The following is a 24139-nucleotide window of genomic DNA, read 5'->3' as shown; positions in this document are numbered from 1 at the left end:
TCTGCACCAGAACCTCAGGAGGGCATCATGGAAGGCATTTCACAGATGAGGAAGTTGTGGTTCCTTGGCTGTGAATGGGAAAACTGAACCAGGAAGGTGGGTTGAAAGACTCCAGGTCCAGCCACCAGAGTGTCACATGGAGCGGAAGAGGAAGACACTTCCTTGTGTTATCCTTCAAGCAGAATAGAACCCCGAGAAAAATGGTAGGGAGGTGGAGTTTTGGGTAACAATGAACTCCTAGTAGGAATTGTTTTATGGTGTCTGCCACCACCTGATCCTGAGATACAGGATGAGGGAGATAAGTGGAGAGGCTGGGCACTGCTGATAATGGGGGAAGTTGGCTAAGTCGAACTTTGAGGGCCCACCCAACTCTAAGTGCCTATGACTATATGGTTCCAGAGGCTTCTTGCTTCTTTCCACTGTTATAGATCATCTTACACGAAAGCCAAGATGCAGAATCCATGTCTGAGGGTTCCAAGTGCCTCACCATTGCAAGCTTGGAGGATGAGACCATAAATTATTCAAATACTGCTCTCTGGTATGAATCACCCAAGAATTCCAAGAGATTTGTCTATTGATTTTCTGCATTTGACAATAGCCTTTCTGCTCTGCACAATGTGATTTTGACTAAAATCCTAATAACACAGAATCTACTATTGTATTTTGTTTAAAAGACTTATCAATTTTCTAACTTGAAAAATACTTTTCCTGGAATGCACAACCCCAGAACTCCTAATGGCCTAAAGAGAAATAGATGTCACCATTAGCTGCTAATATGTTCTTTAATCCACCTCCTTCTCAGCTCATAAGCCTACAACTCAATGCTCTGAGACCAGGCATGTTAATGGTACGAAATATTTACATTTATGCCCCAAATCTAAACAGCCACAAAACTTTATTTCTCCTTTTGTGGTTTCAATATTTAATTAGTGATGAAACATCAGAAAGCTGTAGAGAAAAAAACACCCCATTATTTTTTAAGTTATAGTATATTTACAACCCATTTCCACCTGCTCCCTTTGTCTCCACCTGTCTCTGCTGTACACAGATTCATCTCAGCCATCCCCTCAGGAATACAGCTGTGTCATCACATCCCGTGGCATCCTAATATGTCATACTAAGCTGTGAACCAATTAGGAATGACTACTGACTGTGCTGACTCATGGGAAGAGAAGGGGATAATGTGTCCTTCAGGTAATGAACTTCTTTGGGGACTTGACACATATTTCATTTTTTAGCACCGTTGGTATTCCCTTGTCACATTTCTGTGGATGTGGCTTCATTTTGCTTCATTGCACTAGGAGGATTATGCAGGGATTAGTATTTGTGAAGTAACTGAGTTTGTATCTATAATAATGAGATTTGGACAGAGGCACAGTGAAATTATTGGGCCAGCATCTGAGACCTCAGGGACAGGCTGGAGGGTTCAGGGGTAGATCTGGCCCAAGTGACACGTGTCCTTGGAAGGGCATGCTGGGAGCTTTGCGTGCTTTAGTTTCCTTCTATTCCAGTGGTTCTCAAGCCCTGACATGTATCAGAAAGACCTGGTGGGCTTGTTAGAACACCCAGCTGGGCCGGGCACGGTGGCTCACGCCTGTAATCCCAGCACTTTGGGAGGCCGAGGTGGGCGGATCACGAGGTCAGGAGATCAAGACCATTCTGGCTAATACGGTGAAACCCCATCTCTACTAAAAAGTACAAAAAAATTTAACCGGGCGCGGTGGTGGGTGCCTGTAGTCCCAGCTACTCGGGAGGCTGAGGCAGGAGAATGGCAGGAACCCGGGAGGCGGAGCTTGCAGTGAGCCAAGATGGTGCCACTGCAGTCCAGCCTGGGAGACAGAGTGAGACTCCGTCTCAAAAAAACAAACAAACAAAACACACACACACACACACACACACACAGCTGGGCTCTCACCTCCAGAGTTACTGCTTCAGTAGGACTGGGATGGGTCCTGTCTAATTCCAGGTGAAGCTAATGCTGGTGCTCTGGGGACCATACTTTGAGAACCACTGCTTTCAAGCTAGGATACCAATTTAACCCTTTTGCCAGATGAGTGAGTATTTCTTGAATGAAAGTACAAGCCAAGGTCAAATATAACTTTGTGTGATTAAATAACTGGTTACAATCCCAGAGCTTTCAGGGCCAGATGGATATGGTAAATCATCCAAGGGAATGATGTGGGCCAGAAGGCACAGGCAGTCAGGCATGTCAGGACAGCAGGGAATAGGAGAGCTCAGGCCGCATCCAAAGGGCAGCGTCACCTGGGCTCCAGGAGATTGTTGGTGTGCAGGAACTAGAACTTCTAGTTTTACAGGATGAGGCCCAAATCCAGATTTTTAAAATGTGAAATTTCCCTATTTGCAAATGGGGCAAACCACTGTAGGGGTGAAAGCTACAGTTGGCCCTCGGCTTGCCAGTTTGCAATTTTCAGTTTAAACTAACCTACTCACCATTTTTTTTTCCCCAGAGGGTACACAGTCTTATTGCCCATGCATGGACTTTCTTTAGCATTTCTTCCAACTTTGCCGTTTGTCCATCCCCATCCAATGGGGGTCTTGGGTCTTGAGACCCTGTTTGGGTCTATGTGGTGAAAGTTAAGGCAGGGACTGGCCTGCTGGGGACATGCTGGGTCAACACCCTAGTGGACAACTAGAAGTGGGCCATGTTGCAACTGCATGGGGGGGATCTGACTCTTTTGGACTAGAGACAAGGATTCTGGCCCAAGGTGGTGGACGGGCCTGGAGCAACATCTGTGCTTATGTTGGGGCAGCAGTGGTTTCTATGAAGCAAGTGCTTCAATCCAAGGCAGAAGAGGAGCAAGGCCTGGGAAACCTGATCGGATCCCCTTTGAGGAGAACACTCATCCTAGGAGCTTTGACATGTGGCATCTCATTTCATCCACAGGGCAACACAATGAGCTTATTATTGCCATTTTGCTGAAGAGGAAACTGAAGGTCTGAGGGTTTTTGCTGTTAGTAAGTGGTTGAGCTGTGACCTGAACAAAGGTCATCTGATAGGAAGGCAAGGAACCCACTACCCCGGACTCTGGGTAATGCATCCCTGCCTCCTTGCCTGGGAATGTAGCATGAAAAATAGTGAGAAAACCATAGCTTTCACTTACTTTTTATGACCCCAAATTTTATAATGGGAATTTGGCCTCACATTTGCTCATATTCCTGTGTAGCCAGAGCTTGATTTTTTGATTAGCATAAAAAATGACCCCAGGAGAAGTTCATTCCCAGCTCAAGGAACATTGTGTTGAAACAGGATGTTAACGAAAACCTCATAGCCCACGCCTGAGTCATTAACATCCCAGGGTTTGAACGGGGCAGGTCCTAATTCTTCAGTTGAGATTTCTTTGCTCCACTAAGTTCAATCCATGCTGGGACCATTAAAACGTCCTTTCAGTGCTTTGTCTGAAATTACCCACTTTTACAAATTTTCCCGTTACATAGACCTAGCGCCCTTTGGAAAATGAATTGCTTTTGGTGGTGGTGGTGGATGTCTGTGATTTTAATATTATTATACAATATGTCTCGATTAATCAATGTTTGAGAGCCATCTAGCTCCAAGCTAGATTACAAGTAAATAAAAATGGACTTTGTGCCTAACTCCTGCCTCCATAAAAAATCCTCTGAAATAGAGATGACAGGAACAAAAGAACGGTGGTGCCTGGGCCCAAGAAGGTTTAAGTGAGGTACTTAATATTCATCTGGTATTCATTGCAATAACATCAATCTTACCAAATTCTCCTGGTGTTAATGTAGATGTTCTGCATTTAGTATATACTTCCAGTGGAATTGCATTGTAATTGAGCACTAAATGATGTCCCCTTATGGTAAAGTGGTTCCAGAATTTTTTTGTAATAAATGGCTTTTAGTACAATAGAAGATCCCAGATTCATCGCCGAGTCTATATTAGACTCTTTAGGCTCTAATTGTCATTGACGGTCTTTACTGTATTATTTCCAGACAGTTCATAATTTTCCCAGCTGAACAAATGATGATTTGTGTGTGGAGTAAGACACTGACTGGATTATGTGGTGCCATTGATTTTTTTTATTGCTCTTGTTTCGCAAAATATCTTTTAAAATCACTTGAATCATCTCTACTGGTGTCATTTTAATGGCCGTAGAATTATTTGTATAGTAACAGTGATAGCAAAATTTGTTGAGTGCTTACTCTATACTAAACACCCTATTAAGGTGAATGCATTCATGATCTCATTGGAACCTCATGAAACACAGTAGGTTTGATTATCATTTGTATTGTAGTTGGGTAAGTTGGATATCAGGGGTTTAGGAATTTGTATGAGGTCATATAGCTAGAAAGAGGTGGAGTTGGGGTTTGAATTCATATGAACATGGCTTCAGGCTTCAAAGTCTGCTTTTAGCCATAGCACCAGATGACTTGTGCGTGGTTAGTAGACATGGAATTTCCTACAAGTAGACGAAGCAAACTTTAAATTCCCAGACTGATGAGAGTTTCCCACATTTCTTTATCACAAGCAGGAGAGACTTGTTAAGATAACCTAAGAAGTTAAGAGATAGCTTTTTTTTTTCCCTCCTGAAGCCCAGGGATGATGGGGAGCTGATGTTTAAGGAGAATATCTGTTTGAAAATGAGACACACAATGATTCTGTGCAGTAAAACGAGCAAATTGCACAGAGTGCATTTGTTTGCATGGAAGCAAACTAGACATGCAATTGTGACTAGTTAACCCTGTGGTTAGAGCATGTGGCTATCAGAGCTGAGGTTGAGAGCTCTGTATGGCTCACCCTCCTCATGCTGCCCATGCTGAAATTCTGGGAGGTTATGCAGGAAGGCCTGTCCCAGTGCTGACATTAACCAGCTGGTGGCCCCACCGATGCTTCTTGCCTTCTCTTATCTGCAAAATGAAGGGATTGAGTTGAATTCAAGACTTTCAAACCTATATAGATTGGCATTGTAAGTCTTTCTTCCAAATAAAGAGAATGGAGAATTCTAATATGTGGAACAGCTGAAAGCAGAAAATTTCTTGTTGAATTACACACTGCCCCCCTTTCCATCCTAGGCTGGAAATCTTGAGCCTCCTCGTCCTGGCCCAGATCCCCTGATACCCTGTTAGATGTGTGACGGCAAGTCTAGAAAACCTCTGATCTAGCTGCCTCCTCAGGTTCCTGGTAACTCACACTTCCATACTCACTATATTCCGATATAGATTGTTTTTAATTTTGTGAGCACTGGAAATTGAGTCATTGATCAGATTTCCCTTGCCATGGGTCTCTGAGACTGATGGTTTACGTAGAGCAAAGGTATGAGACGCTAAGGCATGGGTTTTGGGTTGACCACATCTTATGCTCCCACCAATGAATTTTTGTTTCTCCCTTATTTCTAATGAATGCAATTGTGTGTTTTACATAATTCTGCAAGCCACTTTAAGGTTTTTTTTTTTTTTTTTGCAAAGTAGATTAGGAAACCAACCAACTAATAAAATGTCCCCCAAATCTCTCTAATTCCACACACAAAATGTGTGGTTAATTCCAACAAATTTTGAAGCTTGGATCTCAAATGTCACGTTCTCAGGGAAGCTGCTCTAGTGGCTCTTATCCTTATACACATCAGCACCCCTGTAGCCATGCTCACTGAATTTCTACTCTCCCTTTATTGCTCTTGGTATAGCTTATGATTGTGAACTTGTATGATTATTTGATTCAACTCTCAGCTGAATTTTTAGGAGAGGGAGCTAAAAAATTTGGATGGGGTCCAATTGGGTTGGAGCCATGCAAAGGTATTTGGACTTCACCCTTTTAAGTGACAAAGTTCCATAGACACACAGTAGGTCCCCAGCTAACCATGAATGGATGCAGCAAACAAATGAATCCTTAGAGACTTAGCAGGAGGCTGCTACTGCTACTTAAGTCTCCACGATGGGAAAAAGCAGCTCGTTATTGTTAATGCCAACACCTCAGATAATATGCTTTTTATCTCTGCTCCTAATGGTAATGTAGATAAATTCCATAAATCAAATCTCAGCAGTAAAAAGGTTAATAAGTTTACGCTGTGTAATTGAAAGCCATATTGGTGATTAAAAGGATTTTATATATCAGTTTTCTGGGTCACCAACTAATTATTTTCAATGGCCGGTAATAAAACACAGCACCATGCCTGGCTAGACACTGCAAACTGTCAGATGTTAAATTGTGTAGGAAGTACTTGAGCAGGTTACCTTAAGTTGGTTGGTCTTTCCCTCGGGATGTGAAGTCATTGAAATCTCTGCTGTTTGTTTTGTGCCAAGCTTATATGATGCTTGAGGTCCCCTTCTACGGTAAGCATGGAAGCTAGGCAATCCCCCCAAATGGAAAAGGCATGTCAAGCTCCAGGGACCCCACGATAGCTGTAATCATTCATGTTCAATGCACTTGGCAATAGTAACACCGAGCAGTTGCCTTTATACCTAGATCATGGCTGCAGTATGGCACATACTTGGCCATCCTTATTCAGAATAGAGGATTTGCAAAAGAAGGGAAAAGTGTATGACCTGGAGCAGATTAATATTTGTTGACCCCCTAAAATATTCCAAGAATAGTCTTTGTGATTTATATGCGCTAGAGGCCACTAAGGTATGTATTGTCAATTCAAGGTTAGCTATGGGAAAACTGAAGCTTAGAAAGTAAGGGAATTACCTAAGGTCATGGCTATAAGCAGGACAGCCAGCATTCAAGCTTGAATCTGTCTGACTCCACACTCAAGTGATTCCACTATATATATTTATATTTATGTAAAATGTGTGACTTGGCTTATATATACACATACATTTTACTTCTGGTTTATGGAGTACCATCTGAAGAAACAGCAACAACAAAGACAAAACGTTCATGAGTTTGTTCTGAGCTTAATTTGGGATATTAGAAGCTTGTGTAGCTAGGGGCAGTGAAAATAAGGTTGCTGCATTGAATGAAACCATGTTATATTCTAAGCATGCAACATTTCCCGGAATAGTGCTGGAAGTGCTTAGAAGGTCAGTCTTCTAGTCTTGGAGGCTGCGTAAAGGTAGATGGAAATGAGGCAGGGAGGAGGCATTTGGGAGGGACATTTGTTTCAACTCCTGCCATTATTTCTTATGGGTGGGCCTGATGTGTCACTTAGCCAACATGCTATCACCTCTAGCGTTTGTTCAAGAGAAATATGTTTATAGAGTTTCTACCAGGAAAGAAACGCAGTCATTGTATACTTAAGTATAACATAGTGGGCTTAAACCCAGAAAAATCACTAGATACAGTGATATATCCTTTCTTTAACATTTCAACGTGTCTGATTTTACCCCATTACGAAGGAGACAAATTAAGGTTGGAAACCTCTGTAGTTGTAGTCTTTGTTTTTGTTTTTCTAGTTCTTTTACAAATTCTGGAATTATCTTGTAAACTAGGCACTGTGTTCAGTTGTGCATGTGTAGGAGGGAGGGTTTGGGAGGATTTGTAGAATCATTCTATCGCGGCTCTCCAAAGTCTGCGAATAACAGATGAATCAGAAATTTTGAACTCCTCAGTGACCTTCTTCAAAGGCAAATTATTTGCAGATGAAATATAGAATGAAAATTGGGAGGTGAATGCTATTGTCTTGGCTGCAGAGTTTAATGCTTCAAAAGAATAGCCAAGAGCATCCAGGACTGCGATGACTGGTTTAAAAAATGTATTTGACAGATATGTTAATCAAACCACCAAATAAAGGAGACTGCCTGAAGATGGCACTGAGATTGGGCACTCTCAAAACTCTCCATGGGCTTGGTAATTAAACACAGGTGCTTTCTTTTCTTGGCATCTCGTGCTAGGAAGGACCGACCTATCAGTGACTTAGTGTTCCCATCTGCCATCAGGTGGTACGAGAAATGTAAGAGCAGCCTCAGTTCCTTTCTAGAGAAAGACAGAGATGTGATTAACCCAATAACCCAGGAGGAGGAAGACTCAGAAATGTGCACAGAGAAAAGGCGAATGAATCTCCCTGGGGTCAGTGTGGAGTGGTTCATGTTGCAGGGAAAAGTTGGGCTTCTCAATTACAGAGATTCTTCTTCATGTCTATTTGTGACAAGAGCATTCTAAAGATGAAAACTCCCTTAGCTGCTCAGCCATATTTTAGAAAGAAATATTGGGGTTAGGGTGGGGGTTGGGGGTGAGGAGAGGTGCCCGTGGAGAAGCATGGAGGAGCAGACTTGAAAGGGCAGAGGGAAAAGGGGAGAGAATGACAAATATACTTCCATTAACAGGAAAACAAATGCACTTCAGATGGCTTGAGGCACAAGTGACATTTATCTTTAGTGGGCAGCATATTTTGAATAAAATCAAGTCAGCATCATCCATCATCTTTCCTCCTGACATGCACATGCCTTGACAACGTGCATCAGGGCATCTCTGACTCATGTGGGGATTGTGAGTGAGAGTTAAGTCAGGAAGCAGGGCTTGTCTGAGCTCTGGGAGCAAAGAGCTGTAACACAGTGACAACATGGCCAATGGTGCAGTCAAGGCAATGCTACAATGCACCACCAATGGTCTCCGTGGTGGACTAGTGCTTCCAGGGACAATCCATCTCTATCAAAGGCATGCCTATTGCTGATAAATTGTTTTCACCCTAACAGGGAGCTGGTACAAAGGAAGGCAGAAGGAGAGCAGGGACTTGACTTTTCCTTCCAAAGGCTGTAAAAGTGGTGTACATATGCCCGGGCCCATTCTTTCCCTCCAGGGCCCAGAGCTTTTACTACCTCTGTCCTCTCCCTTATCAAAAGAGTTATGCCCTGTTTCTCACTCTCAGCTCATCTGATGACCTCGACCACTCTGGCATGAGAATGCCTACCAATGGGTTCGCCTGTGGTTACCAGGTAAGAGGCTAAGACTTCAACAGAGTCTATTGGGAAACAGTACCCTGACCAAGGGATGGAGCAATTTCAGCCACCATTGTAGGCAAGGCAGGAATGACAGGGAGGTGAGTGAGGCACAAAAGTTAAGAGGGAGTAGAAATGAACACCTCAATGATTGAGGTAAATAATATTTTATTATGGTATTTAAAGAAATAAAAATTAGGCCGGGCATGGTGGCTCATGCCTGTAATCCCAGCACTTTGGGAGGCTGAGGTGGGCAGATCACGAGGTCAAGAAATCAAGACCATCCTGGCCAACATGGTGAAATGAAACCTCATCTCTACTAAAAATACAAAAAGTAGCTGGGAGTGGTGGCACACTCCTGTAGTCCCAGCTACTTGGGAGGCTGAGGCAGGAGAATTGCTTGAATCAGGAGAATCACTTGAACCCGGGAGGTGGAGGTTGCAGTGAGCCAGATCGCGCCACTGCACTCCAGCCTGGCGACAGAGCAAGGCTCTGTCTCAATAAATAAAGAAATAAATGAATAAATAAATATTAATGCAAAAAATCCATGATGAACAAAATGTCAAAATTTTAAATACAGAATCCATGGGCCATGATTAGGGTTAGGAGAGTGAGGCTCTCACTCTCAGGGTCCTACAAGGGCCGAGTTGGACCTGGTCTTTAGTTAAAATTGTGATAGTTTGTTCATTTGGTGTTGGGGCTGGTGAGATCATGATGGGCCAGTGTCTGCCTCTCCAGCTGTAGCCCCAACCCCGTGCTGCATGCAGTAAGCTTCTCTTGCGGAATTCATATGGTATCTTTACAATAAATTCTATTTCACTGAAGCTGAGCTGAGTGGGGTTCTGTTGCTGGTGACCAACTAAAACAGAAATAAATATTTATTTATTTATCTTCCAACTTCACAGAGCCCTTTCAGAGAATCACAAAATCTTTTCTTCTAGATTCAGCCTTCTGTGTCAAATTATAAGGCTAAAATTTATAGCAATAATATAGGGTTTTCTTTTTAAATATATTACTTCCAATTCCATCAATATAACACAGTAGTTTCAGTTTTACATGTTCTTTTATAAGCTCTGATCATAGTTTTACATAGTCACAGTGAGCACAATTTTGTATTCTGCTTTTTTGGTGAACTTTGCACACCAAAGATTTTCCATGTTGTTACACGTTATGGCTGTAGGCTGTTTGTTGAGTTTTTTGTCCCATATTTTACTTATAAATTTTATTATTTTTAGGTGACTTATAAATTGTCTTCAATTTTTTCATATAATAATGTGAAAATGAATATGTTTATTTCCATGAATCTTGTTTCTTCAGTTATTTCTTTAAATTATGGTCCCAGAAGTCTGATTTCTGAGCCAAGTCCACTGTTGTCTTTCTTAGTGTATAATTTGTATTGCCATATAATTTTTCAACAGCATTTAGATTTTACAGGGGAAAACAAAGAAATTGGAGCCAAAATAATTCTTACATATAGGACACCTTATTTCAAATTTAAATGGCAGTGGGGGAAGTATTCATCTTTAAAATTTGATTTATTTATGAGATTGTTCATTTTCAAAATTGAGCCACAGATAGATTATTTTCTTTTCACTTGCAATAGAGCCCTGTGGTTACACCAACTACTTTTTCTCTCTGCAGTTTATTTTGCAAACCAGAGGAACAATTATACTTTATGAATTTTTTTTAACCAAGAGAATATTTTTGACACTTCTGATGATAACCCAATAGTCATGTCAGTTGCAAATTTAAATCGGAACCCACTATATACATAGCAAGTATTTGACACTAAAACATTATTTTTTAAAAAATTAATATCATACCTCTAAAAAAGAACTACAATCTTCTGTTTCAATTGTGGATATGTTTAACCATGCCCAGCACCTTCTAGACCACTCAGGAATTAAACAGATGCCAATGAAAATTCAAAGCCATACTTCACATTTCTGTGATGCATTTTCACTGAGACATTTAAGGCCATCTTTAAAAAAATAGTAATGGCAAAAGAAGGACCTGAGGCCCCAAGAGGCTTATTTTTCCCAAATTGAGTCAATGACCGAACTAGTGATTAAACAGACGTTTCTTATACATGGGTCATTGTCTCTGAATAAAACGATTCTATCAACATTTCCCCCAAAGCCAACATTTTGAAACATGAAACTCACTCTCAATCCAGATAAATAAAATTGAGGTAAAAAGCCAAAATGTGACCATTGGGAGGTAAAGATCTTAAAAGCAAATTTTATTCTGGTTACATTCATTAGCAGAAATACTTTCATCTGACACAGCATTAGGTCAACAACTTTAAACCCCAAACTACCTTTTTTTTTTTGAGATGGAGTCTACTTCTGTGACCCAGGCTGGAGTGCAGTGGCGCAATCTCAGCTCACTGCAAGCTCCGCCTCCCGGGCTCTAGCGACTCTTGTGCCTCAGCCTGCTGAGTAGCTGGGACTAACAGGTGCCCAGCTGTTTTTTTGTATTTTAGTAGAGATGGGGTTTCATCATGTTGCCCAGGGTGGTCTTGAACTCCTGAGCTCAGGCGATCTGTCCGCTTCGGCCTCCCAAAGTGCTGGGATTACAGGTGTGAGCCACTGTGTCCAGCCCCAAACTACCTTTTAAAAGAAGGAGTTTCTGGGGGTAGATGTGGAAACAGGAAGCAAATGAAAAGAAGGCATTTGGTGCATCACAGAGGTGAAGTCTCAACTAGCCGGAAGACCAGGGGAAATCTAACTCCTAAAAAAAGGTAACACTGGAGATGAACAGTGCCTTGAGATGAATCTATAAAATAACCCCTTCATCTTGCAAATAAAGAATCCAAGGCTCCATGGCTGGTCCAAAATTAAATGGATGGATTGTCCTGGCACCAGGACTATAATTCAGCTTTTTTGAATGCAGTGTGCCATTACTTTATCTCACTGCCACGTCGCTGACAACGTGGTCTTCCTGGTGGCAGCCTCTGTCCCTGTCCCTCTTTGTCCTGTGTTACCCATAACTTGTTTCTGGGAACCAGCTGAAGGAGTCTCCACTCCAGGCAGCACCAAGCATATGAGCTACTAATACTGAACAACATGGTAGGACTGCTCTCAAATTACCTTCCTGTGTCCTATCAAGGTTGGACCCCTACCTTCATTCATCCACTCAGTCTCTGTTCCTCTAAGCTCATATTCTCCAGAAAATATTTAGCGGGTTCCATACAGTCACTAAATTTTTTTTTAGTGGCTGTGTGGAGCCCACTACATATTTTTTTCTCTTTCGATTTGTATGCTGGTCCCTTTCAAAGGAGTTGAAGAGTAGTTCCAAAGAAGGGGCAGTTGTCTAGACAGGTAGTCTAGATAGAGGGCATCACTGAGCATCACTTTTGTGCCCTGTATTTTGAAACATACAGCATCCTGGCAGGAAACAGGATTGGGTTAGATGTTTCCATGAAGAGACTGCCAAGAAAGAACTACTTGCAGAGGAATGAGAGTGTTAAGGGACCAGACAAGGAATGTTGAGGCATCCTGAGACCAGCAACAATGGGGAGCTGTTGCCATTTGGGGCTGAGACAGAAAATGGCATAACATACTTTCATCTCTAAACAAGGGGTAAAGAAAAAAGAAAGACAGAGGCCCCAAAAGCCTTCATTTTCCTAAATTGAGTCAATGACTGAATTAGTAATTAAACAAATATTCCTTATATATGGGTCATTGTCTCTCTATAAAAGAATTCCATTAGCATTTCCCTCCAAACCAACATTTTGAAACATAAAACTTATTCTCAACCTAGATAAATAAAATGGAAGTAAAAAGCCAAAGTGTGACCATTGGGAGGTCAACATCTTAAAAGCAAATCTTAGCTATTATAGAGCCTGGTGGGAGCCGGAACGCTGATTAGGGGTGGGGGAGTTGACAATGCTGTATCAAGGGAGGATGCTGACAGTGCTAGGGATGCTGTGCTGAATGAAGCAAGGAGGGCAAGAGAAAAAAGAACTACTCCTCTCCTGCCTTTCTTTCTTACCATTCTCCATTTCCTGCCAGCCTCCCATTGAAGGAAAACCAACCAAAGAGCTGGCTGTGGTTTGTGAGGCTCAGCCTTTCTGCGCAACAGAGCAGAACAGGGCATGGATTGGGGAGTAAAAGGAAACATGTCAGCAACGATTTTCCTGCATGTCTTCTTGTCTAATATACAAAACAGTCCCATTTTATTACTGAGAAAACCGAGGTAACTTCACAAGCTGCTTTGAATCCTTTCCAAAATAAGGCAGCTTATCGGTCAGTCAACTTGCTCATGGTCACGGTGCTAGTGCGTAACTGGGATCTGAACACGTTTGTTTGGTCCCGCAGGGAACGACAGTCCTTTACACGATGTGGTGCGGAAGTTGTTCAGGCGCTGTGGTGAGACATTCTCAATCATCACCTCATTTAATCCTCACAGCAGCTCTGGAGAATGAGCAGCATTGTCCTCTTAACTTTTCCTTATGAGGAATGGAGTCTGAAAGAAGCTAAGTATCTCACCAGGTAATACCATAATGGGGCCAGAATTCAAATCCAAGAGTCTGAGATCTTAATTACGTCACCATTTTATGCCTTTCCCAACGAATGTTTCACTGGTCCCTGAAGCTGTCTGTGGAGAGCAGAGTGACACTGTCTCATGTGGGTGTCTAGTCCCTGACCTGCAATCCAGTTTCCCTGGAAGGTGCCAAGTGTGGGGTGCCTGATCCATCTTTAGAAGCCTCCTGGTGGGTGCTAACAGTCATGAGAGGTCTTCTTCTGTGGGATAATAATGACTACACTTGGCATGTTCCCCAGTCTGTAGAATGAGCTCACCAGGTGGCTGCTGTTCCTCCTCTACAGATGGCATAATTCAGGTTGTGACAGACATGTGGATCATGCAAGCTGGCGTGAATTGGCAGCCACGTTGGACTGACCATAACACCTTCCTTCTTCTCTTTAATTCATTTCTCACTTTCTAATCCACCTCAAATCAGTTAAACCCTTGAAAAGAAGCCTAGCAAGTTGAACCATGAATCATCATGGATCCAGAATGTTACCTCTTTGGCTATCCCTGTCTCCTCATGCGTGCAGGTAGATTCAAAGCCTCTCACCTCTTTCTGCATTCTGTCAGAACTGTTTGAGTGGCAAAAGTGAATGAACCAGTGAATGGACAAATGAATGAATGAGTAAATAAGTAAGCATATACATGCTCATTCTGACTTTGAAATCCATCATTTAAATTTTTTTTTATCATGTCATTAAAGCCCCAGAGTCAGTGGTTGCCCTTATTTTACTAAAAATAAGGTTGTTGGAAGATGAAAGCTGCATGATTTCAATTTAGTTTTCCTTGTGTTTTGGAAGTTGCCTCCAAGAGCTTTTCAGATGGTGGGGCTGAAAAAGCCTGCAGCAAGTATTTAATAAATTTTTTTTTCTTTTTTTCTTTCTTTTTTTTTTTTTAAGACGGGGTTTCACTCATGTTGCCCAGGCTGGAGTGCAATGGCACGATCTCAGCTCACTGCAACCTCCGCCTCCTGGGTTCAAGCGATTCTCTTGCCTAAACCTCCTGAGTAGCTGGGATTACAGGTGCCTGCCACCATGCCCAGCTAATTTCTTTTTGTATTTTTAGTAGAGACGGGGTTTCACCATTTTGGTCAGGCTGGCCTCTAACTCCTGACCTCAGATGATTCACCCACCTTGGCCTCCCAAAGTGCTGGGATTACAGGTGTGAGTCACTGCACCTGGCCTAATAGACATTTTTATTTGGTGTGCTGAACAGAATCTTTTGAGGGTTCATAATCTGAAAGACATTAAATTCTATAAATTAATGGAGCCATTCAACTCATCCATGACCAAGGAGCCAATCTAATGGCACTTGAGCCAATGAACGACAGCTTTTTTCCTGACAAAAGACTGGTCCACATTTGGCAGGGAGGCTGTCCTCTTACATAAGCATTCAGATTTAGGAGGGCATCCACGAAGCTGTGAGGGACGAACGGGAGACCTGCTCAGCCAACCACACCTGCTGAGCCAGTCCTGGTGGACGGGAGGAAGACTAATGGGCACCTTTGTTTGCCAGGCAGATATTATCACCAGAGTAGTGCTTCTTGAACTTAATGTGCATATGAATCACCTGGAGATCTTGTAAAAATGCAGATATTGATGAACTAAGTTGAGGATGGGGTTTGAAATTCTTCATTTGTAACAAGTTTCCAGGTGCAGCTGATGTTGCCAGTCCAAGGACCACATCTTGAATAGCAAGGTCCTAGTGTTTATCTTATTGTTGTAGTGATATCTTGATTAGGTCGGTGATTTATCAGTAGCTTTATCTGGGGGTAGTGCTGATCTTACGCAAGAGCATTTGATGTCATGGAAGTCATTGTCATTGTCACTGGAGTCATCTTGGAGTCATCATTGCTACTCTTTGTTGAGAATCTCAACCACAGCAACATATTGGCAAGCATCAGAAACTCAATCAAAGAGGCTCTGATGAAAAACAAAATTTATAAGATATAAACAAAACCCTTAGGACTTAATTACAGCCCCATAGGGACTAGACCTAGAAAAAGCAATTCTTCTCTCTTTGCTCCCTGCTGCACATGTTCTCATTCAACTGCTCGCACACAGCCCCTCAAGGCTGCCAACTAGTGCTGGCCTTAGCAACCTGTCTACATCACCTAGAAGCTCATTCACTTACAGCTAATGGACTGAAGTCTCAGTTCCAAATTCCCAGGTGCCCATCAGCTTAGATTCAGTCAGGGTCCGGCCTGGGTTCAATGCCAGAGAGGGGTGTAGGCAGGATGATATAACCCAGAGGCTGCCAGAACTGAGGGCCCCAAAGGCGGCCTGAGTGGGAAGGCTCAGAGATTTCCTAGCATGCATAGCCAGTAAGTGGGTGAACAGGGATTCACACCCACATCTTTCTCATGTCCCAGTCCAGGAACTTCCCATTCAGTTACACGTCTCTTTGTGATTTGATGGGGTCCAAGAAGAGACTCCTACAACCTATCTCCTCTCCACCCCTCCGAGCCTTAAGAAGTCTCCCTTGTTTGAGTACTTGTGTCCTCAGGAGAATTGCAACTGGGACGGAGATGGTGGCCCCTTCTCTCAGGCTCCTCACATCGAATTCATCGTATGTCCACCCTGCAGTGTCAGTTGCACAGCCAGTCCTGAAGGTTAATCATTTTCGGGAGCCCAGTCCTAGGCTGGTCTACCCATAAAGTCACAGCTTCCACAAGGGCACCAAGCATCAGCTCTTGATGGCCTTCAGGTCACACCAGGATGCCTCCCTCTGCTCTCTCTCAGGGACTGTGATCTGCTTTGTTCTGCACCATCCCCTGGCCTGGGCCTCTCCAGGCTGAGGGCAAATCTTAGGCCCATCAGGCCTCCTGGCCTGCTGCTGTGTCTAGTATCTTCACTGTATTTCTGTGGGATTGGAGGGGGGCGAAGTTGCCTGTCAGCCATGCAATAACAGACCTGGCTTGTTTGGGACTTCTGGATTCCCTCTGGTGCCCTGCCCGAGTCCCCAGTATATGTTCCACTCCGAAGGGTCAGTCAGTATGCCTGCCCTCCCCATTGGCTTCCTGCTGTCTGGTTAGGACATCTAGTTCTGGATATAGTTACATTTGCCTTTCAGCGACAAAATAGGGAAGCTGGGTGGGAGATAAAAAAATGAAATAGTTCCAAAGCCACTCTTCCCTGCACGGAAAATGTGGCCTGAGGTCTTCCTGACCCAGGAGCATGCTGTCAGCCTCATGGCTCTTTCATGATCCATACCTGAAAACCAAATGCTCCACCTCCAAGTCGATGGTATTTTATTTGTTGACTGGAGCAGAATAGTGATGCTGTCACCTGTCGGGAGAGCAGCGAGCCTTCCCTGGGGTGGGGTGTGAAGGACACGGGGAGGAGACAGGGGTAGGCTGCTGATGGGAGATTGATATGCAGCCTGGGTATGAGAGCCACACGGTCTGTGACTCTGACAGGAGACAGTCAACTCCAGCCTGGGACAGGCATCATGTGATGGGCAGGCCAGGTGTAGAGTCAGCCTAGCAGGGCTCATGGTCAAAGTTAGACACATGTGGCCATGGGGAGACAGACTTTCTTGTGGTGTTCGTAGTACGTGGAACATAGTCTTCCAAGAGATGGTCTCCCTCTCTCAGCCTGGCCCAGGGCATGGACAACAGGAACTTCTCCTAAGAGGGCTAGTCTTGGGACATGGTCTTCCAGCCTTGGTTTCCCTACCCAGGACATTTATTTTTTTTTTCTTTTTTCTTTTCTTTCTTTCTTTCTCTTTTTTTTTTTTGAGATGGAATCTCACTGTAATGCCCAGGCTGGAGTGCGGTGGTTGCAATCTCAGCTGACTGCAACCTCTGACTCCTGGGTTCAAGCGATTCTCCTGCCCCAGCCTCCTGAGTAGCTGGGATTATAGGTGCCTACCACCACGCCTGGCTAATTTTTGCATTTTTAGTAGAAACGGGGTTTCACCATATTGGCCAGGTTGGCCTCGAACTCCTGACCTCAAGTGATCTGACTGCCTTGGCCTCCCAAAGTGTTGGGATTACAGGCATGAGCCACTGTGCCTGGCTGCCATTTCTTTTCTATTGGTTTACCCTGCTCTTTTCTTTCATAGAACTCATCACAGGTTTAATCTGATATTTAATTGTTGATGTGTTTACTTTTTACAAGCCCACTGAGGGCAGGATTGGACCTGTGGGTGCTCCCAGGACCGACTGTGTGCCCTGCATGCAGTAAACATTCAGTTAATAGTCATCGAGTAAACAGTTAATAGTCATCGAATAAACATTCAGTTAATAGTCATCGAGGGTGTGGAAGCCTGGGCTGAAGGGCAGCACCTCTTGGATCGTGGACTGGGGCAGCTGATTAAGGAATGCGGCACTTGGCCAGCAGGCAGATTTTGTCCCTGGTTGGGGGAAAGTCAAGAGAGTGATGCTTGTATGTAGACAAAAATATAGGAAGTAAAAAGATCATGGAGAATGTGCTGTGGAAATGTGTTGCCATCTCTGACCTGAACCTGGTATAGCCTGCTGGTCAAGAGGCTAGACTCTGACCTTGGGTAGACTTGGTCTAGGTCCTGCCGTGTTGCTTTTCCTCTCCCAGTGTGAATGTCCTGTCTGAAACGGGAGGTAATCAGACCTGCTTGACAGAGACGTTGTGGGGATTAACCAAGATAATGCCAAGCATGGCACCTGGCACACACAGAGCTATTTGTATTATTTTATCACTAAACTAAAAAACTGCAAACCTGTAAAATTATTATCATTATTATAAGGCAGCACATTATAGTGTCATGAAAAGGCCATGACATTTGGAATCTGAAAACCTTGGCTCTGGATCCCAGCTACATACTGACAGCTGTAACGACCTGCGTATCTTGTAACTTCTCTGGATCCCATTTAAAAAGTCAGTTCTTGCTACATGGTGATGGAAAGGATTATATGAGATAACGCATGATAATATGTTGATTAGAAGTGAAAAGCACTATTCCAGGGTAAGTTTTTCCTCTTCTATAATGGCTGAGGAGATGGAACTAGTGTAGGCAAAAATTTCAGAGGAAAGATAATTGAAGAATCAAAAGATTGCAACCCTTCAGCAACATTATTACATTTTAAAGAACTGGAGATTTTGAAAATGAGACGAAGTAAAAGTATGGTTAACAATCCTCCTAGTTTGCTCAGCGACCATCTTCATAAATATAAGTTCTGTTGCCTCCAGCGAAACATGGTACCCTTTGTTAATTGCAACTTCAGTGGTCTCCCAAGGGGCCGCTCCTCTCCTGCACCCCATAAAACAGCGTGTATGCCTGTGGCTGTCTCTAAATCCTTTGAAAAAGACTGTAAAAAACACCCACAAAAGGAAAATCGAGCACCTTCCACTTTTTTCCCCTTTCTACTTTTAAAGTTTCATTGGACATTAAAAGTTTTTATGGCTATCAAGGAAAAGCATTTTGCCACTTGAAGTTAAGGTGTGATTCAAATTACAGGATGGCAGAGTCAATTCCTAAAGTGATATTTAACGAGTTTCACAGATATCTTTTTTTACAGGACATTTTTATTGGTGCAGAGAGGCAGAAAAAGCCACAGACTTAGAAACTCTCTGTAACTGCCCTGTGGCCCCTCTCTGCTTAAGGTGCAGCCTGGGCCGTTCTTTCCTTTGATTCCTTTTCCTCCATGCTTCCCTGGGCAATGGCAGAACACTTTTCTGTGAATGGGCTCCAAGACACATGGACAGGTGATGAGGATTGGTGGGTGCCCAGCATATGAGTTTTGTTTTTTGTTTTGTTTTTTTTTTTTTTTTTTTTAAGACGGAGTCCTACTCTGTCGCCCAGGCTGGAATGCATTGACATATCTCGGCTCACTGCAACCTCTGCCTCCCAGGTTCAAGGGATTCTCCTGCTTCAGCCTCCCGAGTAGCTCGTACTACAGGCAAGCAGCACCACGCCCAGCTAATTTTTGTATTTTTAGTAGAGGCGGGGTTTCACCATATTGGCCACGCTGGTCTCGAACTCCTGACTTCAAGTGATCTGCCCACCTCGCCAGAATATGATGTTTGTGTTCAACTGTCTATGTGGCCACAGGTGAGATCACGTACATAATTTTAATCTGAGCATTGTTTTAGCAGTTTGCAAAGTTGAGTGAAGAGGAAGTGCGTGCACATTGAAACATAGACCACTGTCATTGCCATCAATGCTTGCAAAGCATTTGGTTATGAATGCTCCAGATAGCTTCTGTTTTCCAAAGGATGAGAACACACAATAAAGCAAACAAAATTGCCTTATTATTTAGCAGAATCGGTAAGCAATGTTATTGATGCACAGATTAAATAAGTTAAAAAAAAATCCCACAGTTGTAAGGACTATGAACTAATTAATAACTGCAAGTCGTGAGTGAAAACTTGTGAAGTGACCCTTCCTTTCTTCTTGGATGCAATGTCTTCTTGCCCAGGGCATAACTCTTATCAATCTGGTCAATAATTCAAAAAGATTTTTTAATGTGAGGGCTGATTAATCTTGTTTGATTTTTTTCATTTGTGAAATTAGCTGGACATTCATGTAATTGATACTTATCATTTCACAAGTAGATCCAACTTGATTGTAGAACAAATTAAGACGGTCTTCCCCTGCCAGTTAGAAAATAAAGCAGTCCTTACCCGTCTTCTGCTGAATCTCTTACGGTCTATAAATGATGTTTTAGAAAACAAGCAGTGATGGACAAATTCAATGGGAAACTTTTTGTGTTCTTTTTTCATTGAGCCCAAAACCATCTCCACAGAGGCCAAGTGGCTTGTTTGGTTCAAACAGTGTTAAAATACCTTAACGAACTGATAATAAAATCCCCCCAAAGTCTATTTACACATATTTCCAAGTGAACTAAAGGACACGGGAGACATTATTTTTTAAACTCCCAAGAGAAACCTCCTTTCCCTTTCCAGTCAAGCAAATCTGAGTTGACTTCTCCCGTAAATTCAAGAACAAAAAGTTATAAATTGAGCATATGAAGGACATTGCCTTTTTTTAAGTGATGTTTCCTTGACTTAATGGATTTGGTTATGGCAGAGAGTCAGAGAAAAGCTGTCTTAACTAAATCTTTGACTGATTATGCATTTTTTCCCTATTCATACAAGATAGATTCATCATCCCAATTTGTCAAGCTGGCGAAGTTCCAATTAATTACACCCAGCAAACCTCGGCTTGTGTTATGCCCATGTCAGGCCTAATCTAGTGCCTCATTTGCCGGCAGCCCAATGAAGAGGTATCAGAGGTGGTGTTTCTTATGGTACTTACGGTGATGGATGCCCCCGCGGCACGGCCGGTGGCACAGGCAGAGCCCTGGACGTGTCTTTTCTCCGAGTCTGAGGACTCAAAGCTCCTGTACTAATTGAAAGGCTCATCTGTGTAGGGGATGTTGTTGCAAAGTCGATCCTTCATAGCTGGGCTGAAAGCTTTCCCCGTCACATGGGCTGTTTAAATATCTATGCGGGTCCTACATTTCTGTCAGGTTTGTCCTTGCAAAATGGAAGAAAACAAAGGCAACTTGTCCTGAGCTGAGTTTTTGAGCTCTTTAGAGGCTGATGTGTGTTATAGGGGAAAAACATAGGTAGTAGTGAGGTGTACCCCAGGCATTTATGAACATATCTGTATATGCTTGTAGCTATATGTTTTTATGTTGTTTATAGGGCGTGCCACTATCTTCTGACTGTGGCGACTTTGCTTTCATGCTTTCAGTTGATTAGGCAATGATCTGCTAATGAACGTTACTTATGGGGCAATGTGAGGCCCACTGAATTTTGATATCATTCTCCGGTGCATGCATGAACTAAAGTTTGCTTGAGTGACTTAAGTCACATGCTATGACAAGTGGTATGTTGGCATAACATCTCTGTAGACCTATTGTTATTATCCCCATTTAGGGTGGGAAAACTTAACTTGGAGAAGTTAAATGACTTGCTCAAAGTTGCACAACTAATGAGCTGTGGAAATGGGATTTATCTCATTGTAAGTTTTGAGCTCTTTCCAGGAAGCTATTGCCATTAAAATAATGGCAAAAACCGCAATTACTTTTGCACCAACCTAATAGTTCTCTCAGGTACCTGTTTCTTCTTCTTCCTCTGTCCGCACTCCATCCTGGCCTACAACCTTTACCATTTCCTCCTCCCACCCACATGGTAACCTGCAAACTACAGTGGGAGTAAGAGCCTGCAGTACCTTGCTATGTGGACCAGGTTTGCAGGGTGGCAGAGCTCTTTGATGCTGGAGGTTGCTGGCTGTGCCTGCATCTCCCTGTACCATGCAGCACGGGGGCGTACTGGGGCTGAAGCTGGGCCTGTTCCCAGATTGCCTTGACTGCTTCCTTCTTTCTCTATCTCTCTGAGAGTCTCCTTCCTGTATCATCTGTCACTTCTCTATCCTCAGCTCTGTGTTTTTTTTTGTTTTGTTTTTTTTTTGAGACGGAGTCTTGCTCTGTTGCTCAGGCTGGAGTGCGGTGGCATGATCTCAACTCACTGCAACCTCTGCCTCCCAGTTCCAGTGATTCTCCTGTCTCAGCCTCCTGAGTAGCTGGGATTACAGATGCATGCCACCAGGCTCGGGTGATTTTTGTATTTTTAGTAGAGACAGAGTTTCATCATGTTGGCCAGGCTGGTCTCGAACTCCCAACCTCAGGTGATCAGCCCACCTAGGCCTCCCGAAGTGCTGGGATTACAGACATGAGCCACCGTGCCGGGCACCATACTCAGCTTTGGATGAAACACCACCACCACCTGAAGGTATGGAGACTGGATCCCCAAGTGGCCACTGGAGGGTCAGATGCTGAACCTCAGCAATGTTGCACAGTTGGAAAACCTTGACCGATGGGAGACAGGAGACAGGAGAGTGTAGGAAACCAAGCTGATACGGACCCCCTCCCTTCCTGCATTCATGGGCTACCCTGAGCTGTGGCTTCTCCTTGTTTCCCTGGCAGAGAGGTCCCACATGCTAAGTGAGCACATCTGCTGAGCACCAGCCTGTGTCTCTGTGGCTCTCAAGAAATCAGTGGGCAGTCAGTAATATACTGCTTTGCATTGCCCTACATTCGACCCTACTTCTTTTTTAACCCACCCCACTTTCAAAACAAAATGTTGGCATCTTCATCCTTGCCTCTGGGCTCCAGACGGGATACAGGGACACTAAGGAGAAAAGCTGACTTTTCACCCTTGCAGCTTCTGCAGAAGAGACCCTGAAAGGGGTTGCCATGTTTGGGGAAGAATTAAATCACACCAAAGACCAACTTTTAGTTTGAATAAGGCTTCAAGTTCATTAATATTCAGCATTTACCTTCCTTCTTGATTCTTAAATATGATGTGTTTTACAGTTATCAAAAACATATGCTGCTTTTCAGCAGAATTTTATATACAACTTTTTCAACAGAAGGTGCCAGCATCCCAATATGTTTTGCTTAGTTTTGGCTTTAACTATTGTGATGAAAGCATTCAAGTGCAAGGATGTCATCTTTTTAAACGTGGATGGAGATGTTGCTGAAAGGTGCCTCTTGAACAAAGAAAAAATAAAGGAATTATTTATTCTTTCTTCCATTGAATTAGTTTCTATGATATTTCTATTACGGGGAAAATTCTGTATTAAGCTTAGTGAGAACTACATGGATAACTCAATCCCAGACCTTGTTTTCAAGGTATGTACAGTCTGATACCTTCTTGATAAAGCTGGTTGTGGCATTCTTCTTATTAAAGGAGCCAGGGATAGTTTTCTGATGCTATACCTGTGGGATAATATTGATTATTAAAATATTAAAATACTTTCCTATCTGTTGTAAATACACACATTGCCCTAAGCCACCCACACCTGGCCTATCTCATCCCTCCCTTATGGTCCAGGCACTAAAGCAGTAATGCTTGACAAAGCAAGGGATTCTGAAACTTTCCTCCAGCACTATAGCCAGTGTCCAATCTGACTGCTCAGAGCCCATCCGTCCACTGTTGATGAGGTTTCATCTTTCCTGAATGGAGTGATGCTGTGCTGGTTATATTCAGATAATCTATATCTGTGATGGTGAATTTTATATGTCCACTTGACTGGGCTACGGGGTGACCAGATAGTTGGTTAAACATTATTGCTTGATGTGTCTGTGAGGGTGTTTCTGAAAGATAATAGCATTTGAATCAGTAGAGGGAGAAAAGAAGATTCATCCTCACCAAGGTAGGTGAGCACCACTCAATCCATTGAGGGACTGAATAGAACAGAAAGGCAAAGGAAGGGTGAATTCACTCTTTCTGCTTGAGCTGGGATAGCCATCTTCTCCTCCAATGTACATAGCTGATCCTGGTTCTTGGACTTACAACATTAATTTCCTGGTGGCCTTAGAGTTTGGACTGGCGTTACCCCATTGGCTTTCCTGGGACTCCAGCTTGCAGACAGCTGATTACAGGACTTCTCAGCCTCCTTAACTGCATGAGCCAATCCTCATAATGAATCTCTCTCTCTCTGTCTCTCTGTCTCTCTCTGTATTGGTTCTGTTTCTCTGGAAAATCATGCCTAATATCATATCTTTGCTGTTACGCTCTCCAGCTAGAGTTGTGGAGGTGTTTCTGACTTTCTTTAGTTCTATCAGTTTTTGTTTGATATGTTTTGAGACTCTATTATTAGGTGCATACTCATTTAGAATTATTATATCTTCCCGATGAATGGACTCATTTATCATTATGAAAGCTTCCTCTTGGTAACACTGCTTATCTTGAAGTTTATTTTAACTGATACTAGTATTGTCATACCTGCTTTCTTCTACCAAGTTTGCATGAGATGTTTTTTT

The 24139-nt window shown here is 43.1% G+C and overlaps 3 annotated features.

Annotated features, from left to right (window-relative positions):
* Window positions 858-2057: an enhancer, noted in NCBI's record as "BRD4-independent group 4 enhancer chr15:98776351-98777550 (GRCh37/hg19 assembly coordinates)". NCBI's record gives its function as "activates an origin of replication core promoter dependent on BRD2, P300/CBP, MED14 and CDK7 cofactors, and independent of BRD4, by STARR-seq in HCT116 cells {active_cell/tissue: HCT116}" and the evidence as "EXISTENCE:reporter gene assay evidence [ECO:0000049][PMID:35650434]".
* Window positions 2159-2660: an enhancer, noted in NCBI's record as "NANOG hESC enhancer chr15:98775748-98776249 (GRCh37/hg19 assembly coordinates)". NCBI's record gives its function as "activates a minimal SCP1, AML or CMV promoter by ChIP-STARR-seq in naive H9 embryonic stem cells {active_cell/tissue: H9 hESC(naive)}" and the evidence as "EXISTENCE:reporter gene assay evidence [ECO:0000049][PMID:30033119]".
* Window positions 5839-6008: an enhancer, noted in NCBI's record as "experimental_42793 CRE fragment used in MPRA reporter constructs". NCBI's record gives its function as "activates a minimal promoter by MPRAs in K562 erythroleukemia cells, with activity observed for the non-introgressed 15:98772485 variant allele {active_cell/tissue: K562}" and the evidence as "EXISTENCE:reporter gene assay evidence [ECO:0000049][PMID:34662402]".

Source organism: Homo sapiens, chromosome 15 (genome assembly GCF_000001405.40).
Source record: "Homo sapiens chromosome 15, GRCh38.p14 Primary Assembly".
Lineage (NCBI taxonomy): Eukaryota > Metazoa > Chordata > Mammalia > Primates > Hominidae > Homo > Homo sapiens.
This window is presented reverse-complemented; position numbering and strand designations above follow the sequence as displayed.